Here is a 14845-nt window from a genome sequence, read left to right as displayed (position 1 = left end):
TATTTTCCAGCAATTAAGCTAAAGTGGTACCAGAACAGAGTAGACATTCTGAGCTTTCACTTTACAAAAGCTACACATAAATCTAGATACTTTTTAAGGGTATAAACAAAGTCAGAGCCTGTGTGATATTTCAATAAACAACTGGAGAAAAATTTTCTTTAAGAATAGATTACATACATATTGACCTCTTTGAGATCCTTATTCTGAGATTCAGTTCAGAATCTGGGGTTTTGTTTTGTTTTGTTTTCAGACGGAGTCTCTCTCTGTCACCAGGCTGGAGTACAGTGCACAATCTGGGCTCACTGCAACCTCCGCCTCCCGGGTCCAAGCGATTCTCCTGCCTCAGCCTCCCGAGTAGCTGGGACTACAGGCACGTGCCACCACACCCAGCTAACTTTTGTATGTTTTTTTAGTGGAGATGGGGTTTCACCATGTTGGCCAGGATGGTCCCGATCTGTGGACCTTGTGATTTGCCTGCCTCGGCCTCCCAAAGTGCTGGGATCACAGGCGTGAGCTACTGCGCCCAGCTCAGAATCTGGGTTTTAACCAGATTTGCCATTATAAAATGAAATGAAACCAAAACCACCAGTCAACATCTGTAGCAGTGTTATTGTTGGGGAGCATGCACATTTGTTTGAGCTTATTTATATATACAGAGCTGTTTAGCTTAATATTTAAATTGAAAATTTTTAGTATTTTTAGAATGTTTTAGATACTTTGATGAATAAATTTTGTGTTAACAAACTACTATTAAAAAAACTTATAGGTTATATATTTCTGAACACATTGGCAGATGTAAATGACAAAGTTATATTCACACAATCATCAGTTTTTCTTGTACAGAATTGACATTTTGTCAAAAAGTTAAAATCTTTGAAATGTATTTTCTGTCCTCATCTTTCCCCTTTTGAGCCTTTTTTTCCCCCTGGGTTGGTTATAAAATGTTCCCTAACTTCAGGCATCTGATTAAGTTTTGGGTTTTCTCCCTTCCTCCCAACTCATATGGATTGGTAATGATCTGATAGAAGACAATTGCCAAAAATCAATGAAATATGTTTTAAATTAAACTTCTCCAAGATAATATTCATATTAATCCTTCTTTAATTGCTGAATGAGGAATAATTTTTCATTGACCCTTAAAATCCTAAAACTTAATCAGCTCACTGGAGTGGATGAATGGATATTTGTCCAGATGAGAATGCTAAAGGTCTACTTCAAGGGGTTCATAATAGTAAAAATGTCCTTTTCTTCCATCAGAAGCTTCATCCTGGATCTTTTCATCCTTGTTTTTCTACTAGCTCTCCTTCTCCAAATACACTGACTTGGAACCCCAGTTTCAGTGGTGGACTGCATGGATTTGATTCTAAGCTATGCTATAATGAGAAAGTAGCTCTAACCCTATTCTTATTTTCTTCATCTGTAATATACAAATCATCATCAGACAATATACAGACAGGGGCCAGTTAGTTCATGACAATAATAGGTGAAAAGGGAGAGTATGTGGGTGTAGACATGGGAAAGTGAGTTTAAATGGTTTCAGGAGTCTGTGGAAGTTGTCTTTGGGTGATTCAATGTTCTCAGGGAAGCACAACCAAAAAGACATTGAGGATTTCTGGGGAAGTGTTAGGGATTAGAGACAGGATAAGATACAAAACTAGGTAAATTAGTGAGTGAATAGATGGGAACATACGTAGTATGATTGATTGATAGGCGGCACTGAGATTCTCAGTTTCAAGTGGGATATTTTTCAATTTGCTCCATATAGCTAGTTGCTCAAATATATGTGGGGATTTGGTGGAAATTTGGATCTAACCAGGGTTATTTTCCTGGTTATATTCAGCAAAGTGAAAGAGAAACAAGAAAGTTGAAGTTTCCTGGGAATGGTTGGCCGTGGAATTTAGGCAGGAGAACAGGCAACAGAGTACATCAAGGAGGTAAGGGTCATTGTGAATATGATAAAATAATAGTTTGGAGGTCTCAGAGAGATTGAAAGATTTTATGTCAGGGTATGAATGGGAATGATTATAGGAGGAGCTCAGAGAATGGGATAAATGAAATTGTGACTAGAGAGAAGTTGCTGTTATAAGTAATGACGATGCTTCACTCAGTCCTTCTGTAAGTGTGGTCCCTGTGCTAGCAGCATCAGCATCACCTGGGAACTTACTAGAACTGCATATTCTCAGGTTACACCCCCAGATCTACCAAATCTGAAATTCCAATAGCAGGCCTCAGCAATCTCTTATTTTAACACAACTGTAGGCAATTTTGAGGCACACAGTAGTTAGCACAACTGGTCTAGGGTATGTCCTATTTGGTCTTCCTCCCCAGTTCATGGTACAGAGTTCCTAAAACTTGAAATTTCCTGATAGAGATGAGAGGACCATCCTTTACTAGTCATAAGTCCCTTTTAGCCATACCTGAGTTTATGCTATTGACATGACATGACTGGTGGCTACAGACCCGTATAGCTTCAGGGTGGGTGCTGGACACCAGAAAGATGAAGGCATAACTAGATGGTTGAAACTGTCAGCCCTCTCCTCCATCACCTCTGAGGTGCTGGGAGGGTGACACAATGATATACCGAGAAGGCATATGGCAGCTTTGTGTCCCTTTTCACCATACCTGGCCCGATGTGTGTCTTCTATTTGACTATTCCTGATTTGTATCAGACAGTAAATGTAAGCAAAGTGCTTTTGTGGGTTCTGTGAGCCATCTTAGCAAATTATAGAACCTGGGGAAGGAATCCATGGAGGTCCTAATTTATAGCCAGTTGGTCAGGAGTGTGGGAGGCCCACAACTCATCTGTAATGGTTGATGGGGGAGGGGGGGCAGTCTTGTGGGTCTGAACCCTGAACTTGTGGGATCTGATGCTATCTCCAGATAGATAGTCTCAGGATTGAATTGAATTGTAGGACACCAGTTGGTGTCCTGAGAGTTGAAGAATTGGTTGGGGTGAGACTAAATCCACAAATTTGATCTCAGAAGTTTGAGTAGAAACAATTCTGTTGGAAAACATTATCATTAGATCAAAGGTGTTCGTAGAACTGAGAGATCAAGATGAGATTAGAATTTAGTAAATGCTATTTTTAAAGACATTAATCTTTACTTAATTAATGGAGATAATTACTTAATTATCTCCATTTTGACTTTAAATTTATAACTAAAAAATTGTTATTTTATCTATTTCCCATAAATGGAAATTGAAAAGCAATAGCAAAATGCTTCGACAGAAAATCTGCCCTTTTTATTCTCAAGAGGAAGAATGGCCTTAAGCACAAAGTTAGAAAAACTTTCATAATTTTTTAAGTTGCCATATTTTATAGCTTTGAACAAGTTGAATTGTTAACTAGTCTGCCCAGGGAATGGAGCCCTCTAATATAATTTCCTTACTATTTAGATAAGATCTTTGTTGTTGAAAATCTTAATCTTTTTAATGATCCTGTTTTCAGAGCCTGATATTAATGATTCATGAAACTCATTAAATGCAGTTGTGCATCTGATTTGAAAATCATGAGGGAGATATTTGGTCAGATATGCATAGCAAATCTATGTCACTAGACATATGTCCCTGCTACCCATGTCACAACCTTTATGTCTACTCTTGAATTGAGCTTTTGCTACGTGTTTTATTTTTGAGGTTTAAGAATTATTCATTTATCTGATGGGAAATTGTGTTTCTCTTGTTATAATAGAGCCCAGTTTATCTTTTCTATTTTTCATGGAGACATGAAAGCATGTGAATTTGGAATCAGACAAACCTGAGTTCCACCATGCTTTCTTCCTCTTGCAAGCCATGAAATCCACAGTGGGTTAGTGGACATTACAAAGCCTCTGGTCCCACCTTCTTAAGACGGAAAAAAAACTACTAATTGAAAGAATGAATGTGATAATGAGAAGAAATGGTATCAATAAAGTTTTTGGAACCCAGTAAGTTCTAACAAATGCTAGTTCTTTTCTTTCATTATTCAAAATCTAAATAGAAGCCAGTTGGTAATTCTAAAATAATAGTATGAAGACAAACAAAAAGTTTGTTAACTGACCTTCAACCATTGAGACCTTATCTTATACGAAGCAAAATTAACAAATATTTTCTCCCTTCTACAACTGTACACCCTCTGAGAAAGACAGACAGTGTTCCAATAAAGACAATGATAGTATTCTGTGCACACATAGGAAGGGAAGAAGAATAAGAGAGAACCTTTAAAAAGACAATTTTAGATAGGCACTCTATTTTTACCAGCAATAACATTTTTTAGAACTTATAGCATACAAAATAGACCTTAAATGGACTCAGCGCTGAGAAATTTTTATAAGGGTGCGTTATTTTCTTCTATGGTAAATCTAGGAACCAATAAAATAGCTTTGATAATTCACTCATTACATTCTTTCCTAACTAAACTATTTACATTATACACTTTGTTGATATGCTATGCTTTTGCATTAATAACTCTCGCGTGTCTCATTTGTGAATATGTGAAAACCAGTTGTACGATAAGGAAAATGTAATTTTGAAACATCTTCGAAAACAGTTGCATAATTTAACAAATGTTTATAAATTTTCATCCTTACTCTAAAAGCATAGATATCCTAAAAGTGATTGAAGGTAAAATGATTTCTTTAAAGAACTGGATTTCTCACCATTAGTTATTTTATCCTCATACAAACTGTAGTAGTGTTATACAATGGTTAAGAAGAAATTACTTAAAAGTGAGAATAAAGATACAGCTTATTAACACTTCATTTTGTGGATGAGACCTGAAAAATTAAACCTTTCTTCTAGAGACAAGTTGGAGTTAGTTGTATATATAGAGTGTGAATAGATAGTGTCCATATTTTAGTGTCATTATTTAAACAGAAACGTGTAATTTGCACTTCAAAAACCTATTACAAATTAGCTGCATCATTTGGAAGTGTCAAATTTACCTCATTAATGATCAGATAGGCTTTTGGCTCATTGTAATTAGATGTTCCTATAAACCAAAGTTGAAAGAAAAAGACAGGGTTTGGAGTCTTTAATTCTTGGTAAAATCAGTAGCTCTATTTAGGGCTATATTTGCAAAATACTATTTCTACTCAAGCATATTTTTATTTACAAGGCATTTCACAAATGTTGACCACAAAAATATTTCTACCTAGCAGAAATAATTATAGTTACATATAATTGTCTAGGAATATATTAAACATAGGGATTAAAATAACTTTCAAGAACAAGAATAAATGTTATACCAGGCATTTTTGTACCTATTACTCTATTTCAGTGCGATATTTGTGGCAATTAAACAACATAAATGGCTTGGATATATAGTTAAGATATCAAAGGAAAAATATGCAAAGGCATGATTATTTTATAAATGTGCTGCATATGTAAATTGAGGTACAAAACCTCTAAGTTTAAAATTGTCTTTTTAAAAAAGAAGTCAAAATAGACAAGTGAGCAATGAGTTATGGATACTATTATAGGGTACCCTGATAACCTAGTAACAAGAAGACTTTTGGTACTGAAAATTCCAATTAGCCACGTGCCTCCATTAAGACCATGATTACTGCCAATTTTTACTCGCAAAGGCAGGAGCTAGAGTTATATGGAATCCCATACGTATCTAAACTATAGATTTATCAATTATCACCTAAAACACAACTTGGAGGACACTATCCCGGAATTTGTAGGGCTTGGCCTTATTCTGGAGAAACATACACTGGAATAGGCAGTTGGATTTTAAATTCAATCTTAAATCTCTTAAAAATGATGCATTTTTTTCTGAGAGATGAGAAATTGTCCAACTCTCTTGGCTTATTTTAGATTTGATATTATACAGTTCAAACACCATGGAGATTTACTAATCTGAATGAACACATACCAAATTAGTCTTTGCTCCAGTCTCAAAATCTGAGATTAATTCTGGCAGCTGAATAAATTTTCTAGGGTTAGGAGTATGCTTCAACGCTGGTGACCGGTACTACTTTCTGGTAAATTATAGAGGACATGTGCCCTTTCACTGCCTAAACTCACTTTGTAGAACACCATTAAATGAAAATCATTACCAGCACTTTGGGAGGCTAAGGCGGGCAGATCATTTGAGGTCGGGAGTTTGAGACCAGCCTGGCCAACATGATGAAACCCCGTCTCTACTGAAAATACAAAAACTTATCCAGGCATGGTGGGATGCACCTGTAATCCCAGCTACTTGGGAGGCTGAGGCAGGAGAATCGCCTGAACCCAGGATGTGAAGGTTACAGTGAACAGAGATGTTGCCATTGCACTCCAGCCTGGGCAACAGAGCGAGACTTCATCTCCAAAAAAAGGAAAAAAAAAAGAGAGAGAAAATTATCAGTGTTCAGTGACTCTTTTTTTCATGCTGATAAACTATTACACAGAAAAAGAAAATTTTCATGCCGATAAACTGTTACACAGAAAAAGAAATACATACATTATGGATAATTAAAAGGGCTATACAACCTCTCTCATTGTGTGATTCTGGTTTTCTTTCTTTTCCTTTTCTTTTTTTCTTTTTTTTTTAAAGACAGGATCTCACTCTGTCACCCAGGCTGGAGTGCAGTGGCACTATCTTGGCTCACTGCAACCTCAGCCTCCTGGGTTCAAGCGATTCTCCTGCCTTAGCCTCCTGAGTAGCTAGGACTAAGGGCATTCACCACGTCGCCCAGCTAATTTGTGTATCTTTTTTTATTACAGGTGGGGTTTTGCCATGTTGGCCAGGCTGGTCTCGAACTCCTGACCTCAAATGATCCTTCCGCCTCAGCCTCCCTAAGTGCTGGCATTACAGGCATAAGCCACCATGCTTGGTCTGATTCTGTTTTTTAACACAATTCTTATTACTTCTCTTTTAATTTTACAAAGCCATAGGTTTTTAATCTGGGAAACCTTTGAGAAAGCATCCAGATAAATTTATAAATAGAAAAATAAATTCAGATATATAGAATTCAGTTTATGATCTAACTAGTGGGTGGCAACTGAAAAATTTCCAAGTTCCATAAACTGAAGTGAAAGGATCACTTTCTTGAAAATATTACAATGGCTTGATAATTACCTAGATTGTACTAAAACCTACACAATCTAGTATATTCTATAGCAGCAATTCATAAAGACAGCTTCACTTACCATGTAGAATTTATATGTACATTAAATTTAAGGAATGCATTACTTGTTATTGGAGTAGGATAATAAACTCCCAGCAGAACTGATTTGCATGAATGCCTATTAAACTATCATCGATGTAGAAATTAAACAATATATTCAGCTATTCAGCCCCAGATGTGTGAGAGACAGAGAAAAATTTCAAGAGTTCGGCACCAAATCCTTTCCTCAATAGCTCTTTGAGTCTCAAGACAGTTTCAACCACACACAGCCTCAGAGTCTTATGGTCCAAACAACATTTGACTGCAGCTCTAAAGTAAGCAAACATTTGAAAAGAAACAATCAAAGATCTATGCCTGTAGTTATGGTCAAGGAGGTCCACCTACTGGTGGGTGACCATGGCAAGGATAGGGACTAAGCCAAATGATGGGTTTACCAAAACAGAAACAAGAGAAGCCATTGGAAGCAGAGTCCAGGTTATAACAGGAGCGCAGGCACTTGATGTGGGAACCCTATTTGTCTCATTTAGCAGCTAGAGTTTTAACGTCCTATGAGGCAGAGCTAATGCCCTTCATTATTTATTTTTTGTAATTGACTGCATAGTTTAGAACTATGCTTTGAATTTAATATCTGTTGAATAAATGAATTAATGATGATGAAAATCTGTCCACAGGTTATGTGCAGCACTGAAGAGCGACTTCAGCTATTGAGGTGTCTATCAGAAGTCTTACTCTCTAAAAAGCCTCTCGTTAATTACTGACATAGGTTGCTGACAATTTCACTCCCACAATGTAGGGGAAGCAGGAATGTTATCTGGCCTTTTGGCTCCTCTTCCTTTGCCTTCCACAGCTGTCTCTGCTGGTTCACAGAGGCACATTTTTGTGGCTCTCAGTTCATTTTGCAATTCTGCTAGAATCTCGTTCCATCCTCAATTGTAACCAGCTTGTCCTCCGCCCAACGCTTATTTATGGAGAGACAGATAGCAAGAAGAAATCGCACTCTGGATTACAAAGTGGGAAGACGCACCCCTTGGCCAGAATGCCTGCCTCCGGTGTTCATGGTGGATATTTCTAATTGATCTCGGCACTCTTTTCCATTTAGCCCATGTCTCAAATTGGCCCTGAGTTAGGGAGAGGGCTCTAGAGTGGGAAAGGTATACCCAAAACTTCCCTAATCTGACTATCAAGCCTAAAAAATTAAACTTTCAATTCAACATCCCTTGTTTCTGCAGCTCGGAGTGCCTGATGGTGTGGGAAGCCCCTACTCATAAAAATTCATAGTTGAAGATTGTTGGTAATTTTGCCCAACCTCCTTCTTTCATTTTTTTTTATTATACTTTAAGTTCTAGGGTACCTGTGCACAACGTGCAAGTTTGTTATATATGTATACATGTGCCATGTTGGGTGCTGCACCCATTAAGTAGTCATTTACATTAGGTATATCCCCTAATGCTTTCCCTCCCCTAGCCCCTCACCCCACAACAGGCCATGGCATGTGATGTTCCCCTTCCTGTGTCCATGTGTTCTCATTGTTCAATTCCCACCTATGAGTGAGAACATGCTGTGTTTGGTTTTTTGTCCTTGCGATAGTTTGCTGAGAATGATGGTTTCCAACTTCATCCATGTCCCTGCAAAGGACATGCACTCATCATTTTTTATGGCTGCATAGTATTCCATGGTGTATATGTGCCACATTTTCTTAATCCAGTCTATCATTGTTGGACATTTGGGTTGGTTCCAAGTCTTTGCTATTGTGAGTAGTACCGCAATAAACTCCTTCTTTCTTTGCCTAGTTACACCTCAATGCAACCTCCTGGCAGGCCAGTCTTAAGCCCAGAAGTCCAACCATGCATCTAAGCTGAGTTCTCATCAGAGCCAACTTCAATTATAAACAACTGAGACGATGCCAGAGGCCAGAATCCCTGAGAACCCAATTTGCTGTCATCACCGTGGCTGAAACAAGGTACTTGGCATCTAGAAAAGCTGATGTGTAGGAAATTTCCAATAGAGTTCAATTGTTTCTAAGTTTAAAGTGTACAATATCATCAAGGTCAGACGCTCGAGATAAAACTAGGCTTGCGTTTAAATAGAATAAGAATATTTGAAGAATAGTAAGAGTGGTGACTACTTTTACATAGGAATGTTTTAAATAAATTGTTTTTTTCTTGTGTCTTTTAAATTTAGTGATTTGTCAATGAGATGCTGACATATTTTTAATGAAGCATGCCTTGTAAAATAATAAATGAATGAAAAATACACAGTAATATTTACATCAACAAAGCTAGAAGAAGACTGCATGTCTCAAGAGGCTCCATCATCTACCCAGTGGCCACTTGACCAAATTAAGACCCAAATACCAAAAAGAAAAGTAATTAAAATTTGTGTTGTATGCCTTACAAGACCAAACCTATAAAATGAGGGGAAACTTCACAATTACTTGTAATTTGCTCTGTGGAATTGTAACAGATGGATTATAAATATGATTCCATGATAAACATCTAAATGTGGTTACTACCTTCTGTGCTTTCTTGGTTCATATTTTTATTGTTTTTTCTTTATAAACAGATAATTCATTCTTATCTATGGCAACGCAAAATTTTCAGATGTATTGAATATGTCATAGTTTTTTTCTATTGTAGGCGTCTCTAAAAAAGTTACAGAAAACAAACACAGCAAAGTCTGGTGTTCGAAAGGAGAGAGAAATAAAGCTTGTAAAGGAATGAAAATCAGAGCTTTCTGGAGACAAAAATTCTTAGAAGATACAAAAGCTAGTTACTGAATTAGATGAAGGTTCTTTTTCAGTTTTTCCCAGTTGTTCATCTCTTAGAAGGCACATATTCACAGCAGAAAAGAAAGAAAGGGTTAAAACGAAAATACCTCGGTGTAGTGAGACTGTAATTTCACGAAGGCATTACTGAAGACGCACCTTTTCCAGCATCACTCAGCATGGTATTATGCATGTGTGTAATGTAAAGGAAAGTGAATACTCATTCTTGGATGGGTGATCAAATCATGATTCCAGAATATAATCAGAAGCTGATTCATTACCCTCTTGAGCTTTCACAATCTTTCCAACAGGAATTAAAATTCAGAAGAAGGTGAATGCATCCAATCTTTTGAAAGTTAAAAATTAGAGGGTGGAGACAAGATGGCTGAATAGGAACAGCTCCAATCCACAGCTCCCAGCGTGAGCGACGCAGAAGACAGGTGATTTCTGCATTTCCAACTGAGGTACCGGGTTCATCTCACTGGGGAGTGCCGGACAGTGGGTGCAGCAAACCGTGCATGAGCCGAAGCAGGGCGAGACATCGCCTCACCTGGGAAGCACAAGGGGTCAGGGAATTCCCTTTCCTAGTCAAAGAAAGGGGTGACAGATGGCACCCAGAAAACCGTGTCACTCCCACCCTAATAATGCGCTTTTCCAACAGGCTTATCAAATGGCACAACAGATTATATCCCGCACGTGGCTCGGAGGGTCCTACACCCATGGAGCCTTGCTCATTGCTAGCACAGCAGTCTGAGGTCAAACTGCAAGGCGGCAGCGAGGCTGGGGGAGGGGCGCCTGCCATTGCCCAGGCTTGAGTAGGTAAACAAAGCGGCCAGGAAGGTCGAACTGGGTGGAGCCCACCACAGCTCAAGGAGGCCTGCCTGCCTCTGTAGGCTCCACCTCTGGGGGCAGGGCACAGACAAACAAAAGACAGCAGTAACGTCTGCAGACTTAATGTCCCTGTCTGACAGCTTTGCAGAGAGTAGTGGTTCTCCCAGCACGCAGCTAGAGATCTGAGAATGGGCAGACTGCCTCCTCAAGTGGGTCCCTAACCCCCGAGTAGCCTAACCGGGAGGCACTCCCCAGTAGGGGCGGACTGACACCTCACACGGCCAGGTACTCCTCTGAGACAAAACTTCCAGAGGAACAATCAGGCAGCAGCGTCTGTGGTTCACCAATATCCACTGTTCTGCAGCCTCCACTGCTGATACCCAGGCAAACAGTGTCTGGAGTGAACCTCCAGTAAACTCCAACAGACCTGCAGCTGAGGGTCCTGACTGTTAGAAGGAAAACTAACAAACAGAAAGGATATCCACACCAAAACCCCATCTGTATGTCACCATCATCAAAGACCAAAGTTAGATAAAACCACAAAGATGGAGAAAAAACAGAGGAGAAAAACTGGAAACTCTAAAAATCAGAGCACCTCTCCTCCTCCAAAGAAATGCAGCTACTCACCAGCAACGGAACAAAGCTGGATGGTGAATGACTTTGATGAGCTCAGAGAGGAAGGCTTCAGAAGATCAAACTACTCCAAGCTAAAGGAGGAAGTTCAAACCAATGGCAAATAAGTTAAAAACTTTGAAAAAAAAATTAGATGAATGGATAACTAGAATAACCGATGCAGAGAACTCCTTAAAGGACCTGATGGAGCTGAAAACCACATCACAAGAACTAAGTGACAAATGCACAAGCCTCCATAACCGATGCGGTCAACTGGAAGAAGGGATATCAGCAATGGAAGAAGAAATGAATGAAATGAAGCGTGAAGAGAAGTTTAGAGAAAAAAGAATAAAAAGAAATGAACAAAGCCTCCAAGAAATATGGGACTATGTGAAAAGACCAAACCTACATCTAATTGGTGTACCTGAAAGTGATGGGGAGAATGGAACCAAGTTGGAAAACACTCTGCAGGATATTATCCAGGAGAACTTCCCCAATCTAGCAAGGCAGGCCAACATTCAAATTCAGGAAATACAGAGAACGCCACAAAGATACTCCTTGAGAAGAGCAACTCCAAGACACATAATTGTCATATTCACCAAAGTTGAAATGAAGGAAAAAATGTTAAGGGCAGCCAGAGAGAAAGGTCAGGTTACCCACAAAGGGAAACCCATCAGACTAACTGCTGATCTCTCGGCAGAAACTCTACAAGCCAGAAGAGAGTGGGGCCAATATTCAACATTCTTAAAGAAATGAATTTTCAACCCAGAATTTCATATCCAGCCAAACTAAGCTTCAGAAGTGAAGGAGAAATAAAATACTTCACGGACAAGCAAATGCTGAGAGATTTTGTCACCACCAGACCTGCCCTAAAAGAGGTCCTGAAGGAAGCACTAAACATGGAAAGGAACAACTGGTACCAGCCACTGCAAAATCATGCCAAATTGTAAAGACCATCCAGGCTAGGAAGAAACTGCATCAACTAACGAGCAAAATAACCAGTTAACATCATAATGACAGCATCAAATTCACACATAATATTACTAACCTTAAGTGTAAATGGGCTAAATGCTCCAATTAAAAGGCACAGACTGGCAAATTGGATAAAGAGTCAAGACCCATCAGTGTGCTGTATTCAGGAAACCCATCTCATGTGCAGAGACACACATAGGCTCAAAATAAAGGGATGGAGGAAGATCTACCAAGCAAATGGAAAACAAAAAAAAAGGCAGGGGTTGCAATCCTAGTCTCAGATAAAACAGACTTTAAGCCAACAAAGATCAAAAGAGACAAAGAAGGCCATTACATAATGGTAAAGGGATCAATTCAACAAGAACTAACTATCCTAAATATATATGCACCCAATACAGGAGCACCCAGATTCATAAAGCAAGTCCTGAGTGACCTACAAAGAGACTTAGACTCCCACACAATAATGATGGGAGACTTTAACACCCCACTGTCAACATTAGACAGATCAACAAGACAGAAAGTTAACAAGGATATCCAGGAATTGAATTCACCTCTGCACCAAGCAGACCTAATAGACAACTACAGAACTCTATACCCCAAATCAACAGAATATGCATTCTTTTCAGCACCACACCACACCTATTCCAAAATTGACCACATAGTTGGAAGTAAAGCTCTCCTCAGCAAATGTAAAAGAACAGAAATTATAACAAACTATCTCTCAGACCACAGTGCAATCAAACTAGAACTCAGGATTAAAAAACTCACTCAAAACCACGCAACTACATGGAAACTGAACAACCTCCTCCGGAATGACTACTGGGTACATAATGAAATGAAGGCCTTTGAAACCAACGAGAACAAAGACACAACATACCAGAATCTCTGGGACACATTCAAAGCAGTGTGTAGAGGGAAATTTATAGCACTAAATGCCCCAAAGAGAAAGCAAGAAAGATCTAAAATTGACACCCTAACATCACAATTAAAAGAACTAGAAAAGCAAGAGCAAACACATTCAAAAGCTAGCAGAAGGCAAGAAATAACTAAAATCAGAGCAGAACTGAAGGAAATAGAGACACAAAAAAACCCTTCAAAAAATCAATGAATCCAGGAGCTGGTTTTTTGAAAAGATCAACAAAATTGACAGACCGCTAGCAAGATTAATAAAGAAGAAAAGAGAGAAGAATCAAATAGATGCAATAAAAAATGATAAAGGGGATATCACCACAGATCCCACAGAAATACAAACTACCATCAGAGAATACTACAAACACCTCTACACAAACAAACTAGAAAATCTAGAAGAAATGGATAAATTCCTCGAAACATACACTCTCCCAAGACTAAACCAGGAAGAAGTTGAATCTCTGAATAGACCAATAACAAGCTCTGAAATTGAGGCAATAATTAATAGCTTAACAACCAAAAAAAAGTCCAGGACCAGATGGAGTCACAGCTGAATTCTACCAGAGGTACAAGGAGGAACTGGTACCATTCCTTCTGAAACTATTCCAATCAACAGAAAAAGAGGGAATCCTCCCTAACTCATTTTATGAGGCCAGCATCATCCTGATACCAAAGCTGGGCAGAGACACAACCAAAAAAGAGAATTTTAGACCAATATCCTTGATGAACATTGACGCAAAAATCCTCAATAAAATACTGGCAAACCGAATCCAGCAAAACATCAAAAAGCTTATCCCTTATGATCAAGTGGGCTTTATCCCTGGGATGCAAGGCTGGTTCAACATATGAAAATCAATAAATGTAATCCAGCATATAAACAGAACCAAAGACAAAAACCACATGATTATCTCAATAGATGCAGAAAAGGCCTTTGACAAAATTCAACAACCCTTCATGCTAAAAACTCTCAATAAATTAGGTATTGATAGGACGTATCTCAAAATAATAAGAGCTATCTATGACAAACCCACAGCCAATATCATACTGAATGGGCAAAAACTGGAAGCATTCCCTTTGAAAACTGGCACAAGACAGGGATGCCCTCTCTCACCACTCCTATTCAACATAGTGTTGGAAGTTCTGGCCAGGGCAATCAGGCAGGAGAAGGAAATAAAGGGCATTCAATTAGGAAAAGAGGAAGTCAAATTGTCCCTGTTTGCAGATGACATGATTGTATATCTAGAAAACCCCATTGTCTCAGCCCAAAATCTCCTTAAGCTGATAGGCAACTTCAGCAAAGTCTCAGGATACAAAATCAATGTGCAAAAATCACAAGCATTCTTATACACCAATAACAGACAAACAGAGAGACAAATCATGAGTGAACTCCCATTCACAATTGCTTCAAAGAGAATAAAATACCTAGGAATCCAACTTACAAAGGAAGTGAAGGACCTCTTCAAGGAGAACTACAAACCACTGCTCAATGAAATAAAAGATACAAACAAATGGAAGAACATTCCATGCTCATGGGTAGGAAGAACCAATATTGTGAAAATTGCCATACTGCCCAAGGTAATTTATAGATTCAATGCCATCCCCATCAAGCTACCAATGACTTTCTTCACAGAATTGGAAAAAACTACTTTAAAGTTCATATGG

The 14845-nt window shown here is 38.6% G+C and overlaps 2 annotated features.

The window, feature by feature from the left end:
* Window positions 10115–10614: an enhancer, noted in NCBI's record as "NANOG-H3K4me1 hESC enhancer chr3:75899889-75900388 (GRCh37/hg19 assembly coordinates)". NCBI's record gives its function as "activates a minimal SCP1, AML or CMV promoter by ChIP-STARR-seq in naive H9 embryonic stem cells {active_cell/tissue: H9 hESC(naive)}" and the evidence as "EXISTENCE:reporter gene assay evidence [ECO:0000049][PMID:30033119]".
* Window positions 10615–11116: an enhancer, noted in NCBI's record as "NANOG-H3K4me1 hESC enhancer chr3:75899387-75899888 (GRCh37/hg19 assembly coordinates)". NCBI's record gives its function as "activates a minimal SCP1, AML or CMV promoter by ChIP-STARR-seq in naive and primed H9 embryonic stem cells {active_cell/tissue: H9 hESC(naive and primed)}" and the evidence as "EXISTENCE:reporter gene assay evidence [ECO:0000049][PMID:30033119]".

This window comes from Homo sapiens, chromosome 3 (genome assembly GCF_000001405.40).
Source record: "Homo sapiens chromosome 3, GRCh38.p14 Primary Assembly".
In the NCBI taxonomy this organism is placed as follows: domain Eukaryota; kingdom Metazoa; phylum Chordata; class Mammalia; order Primates; family Hominidae; genus Homo; species Homo sapiens.
Note: the sequence above shows the minus strand (reverse complement) of the source record. Positions and strands in the feature narration are given on the sequence as shown.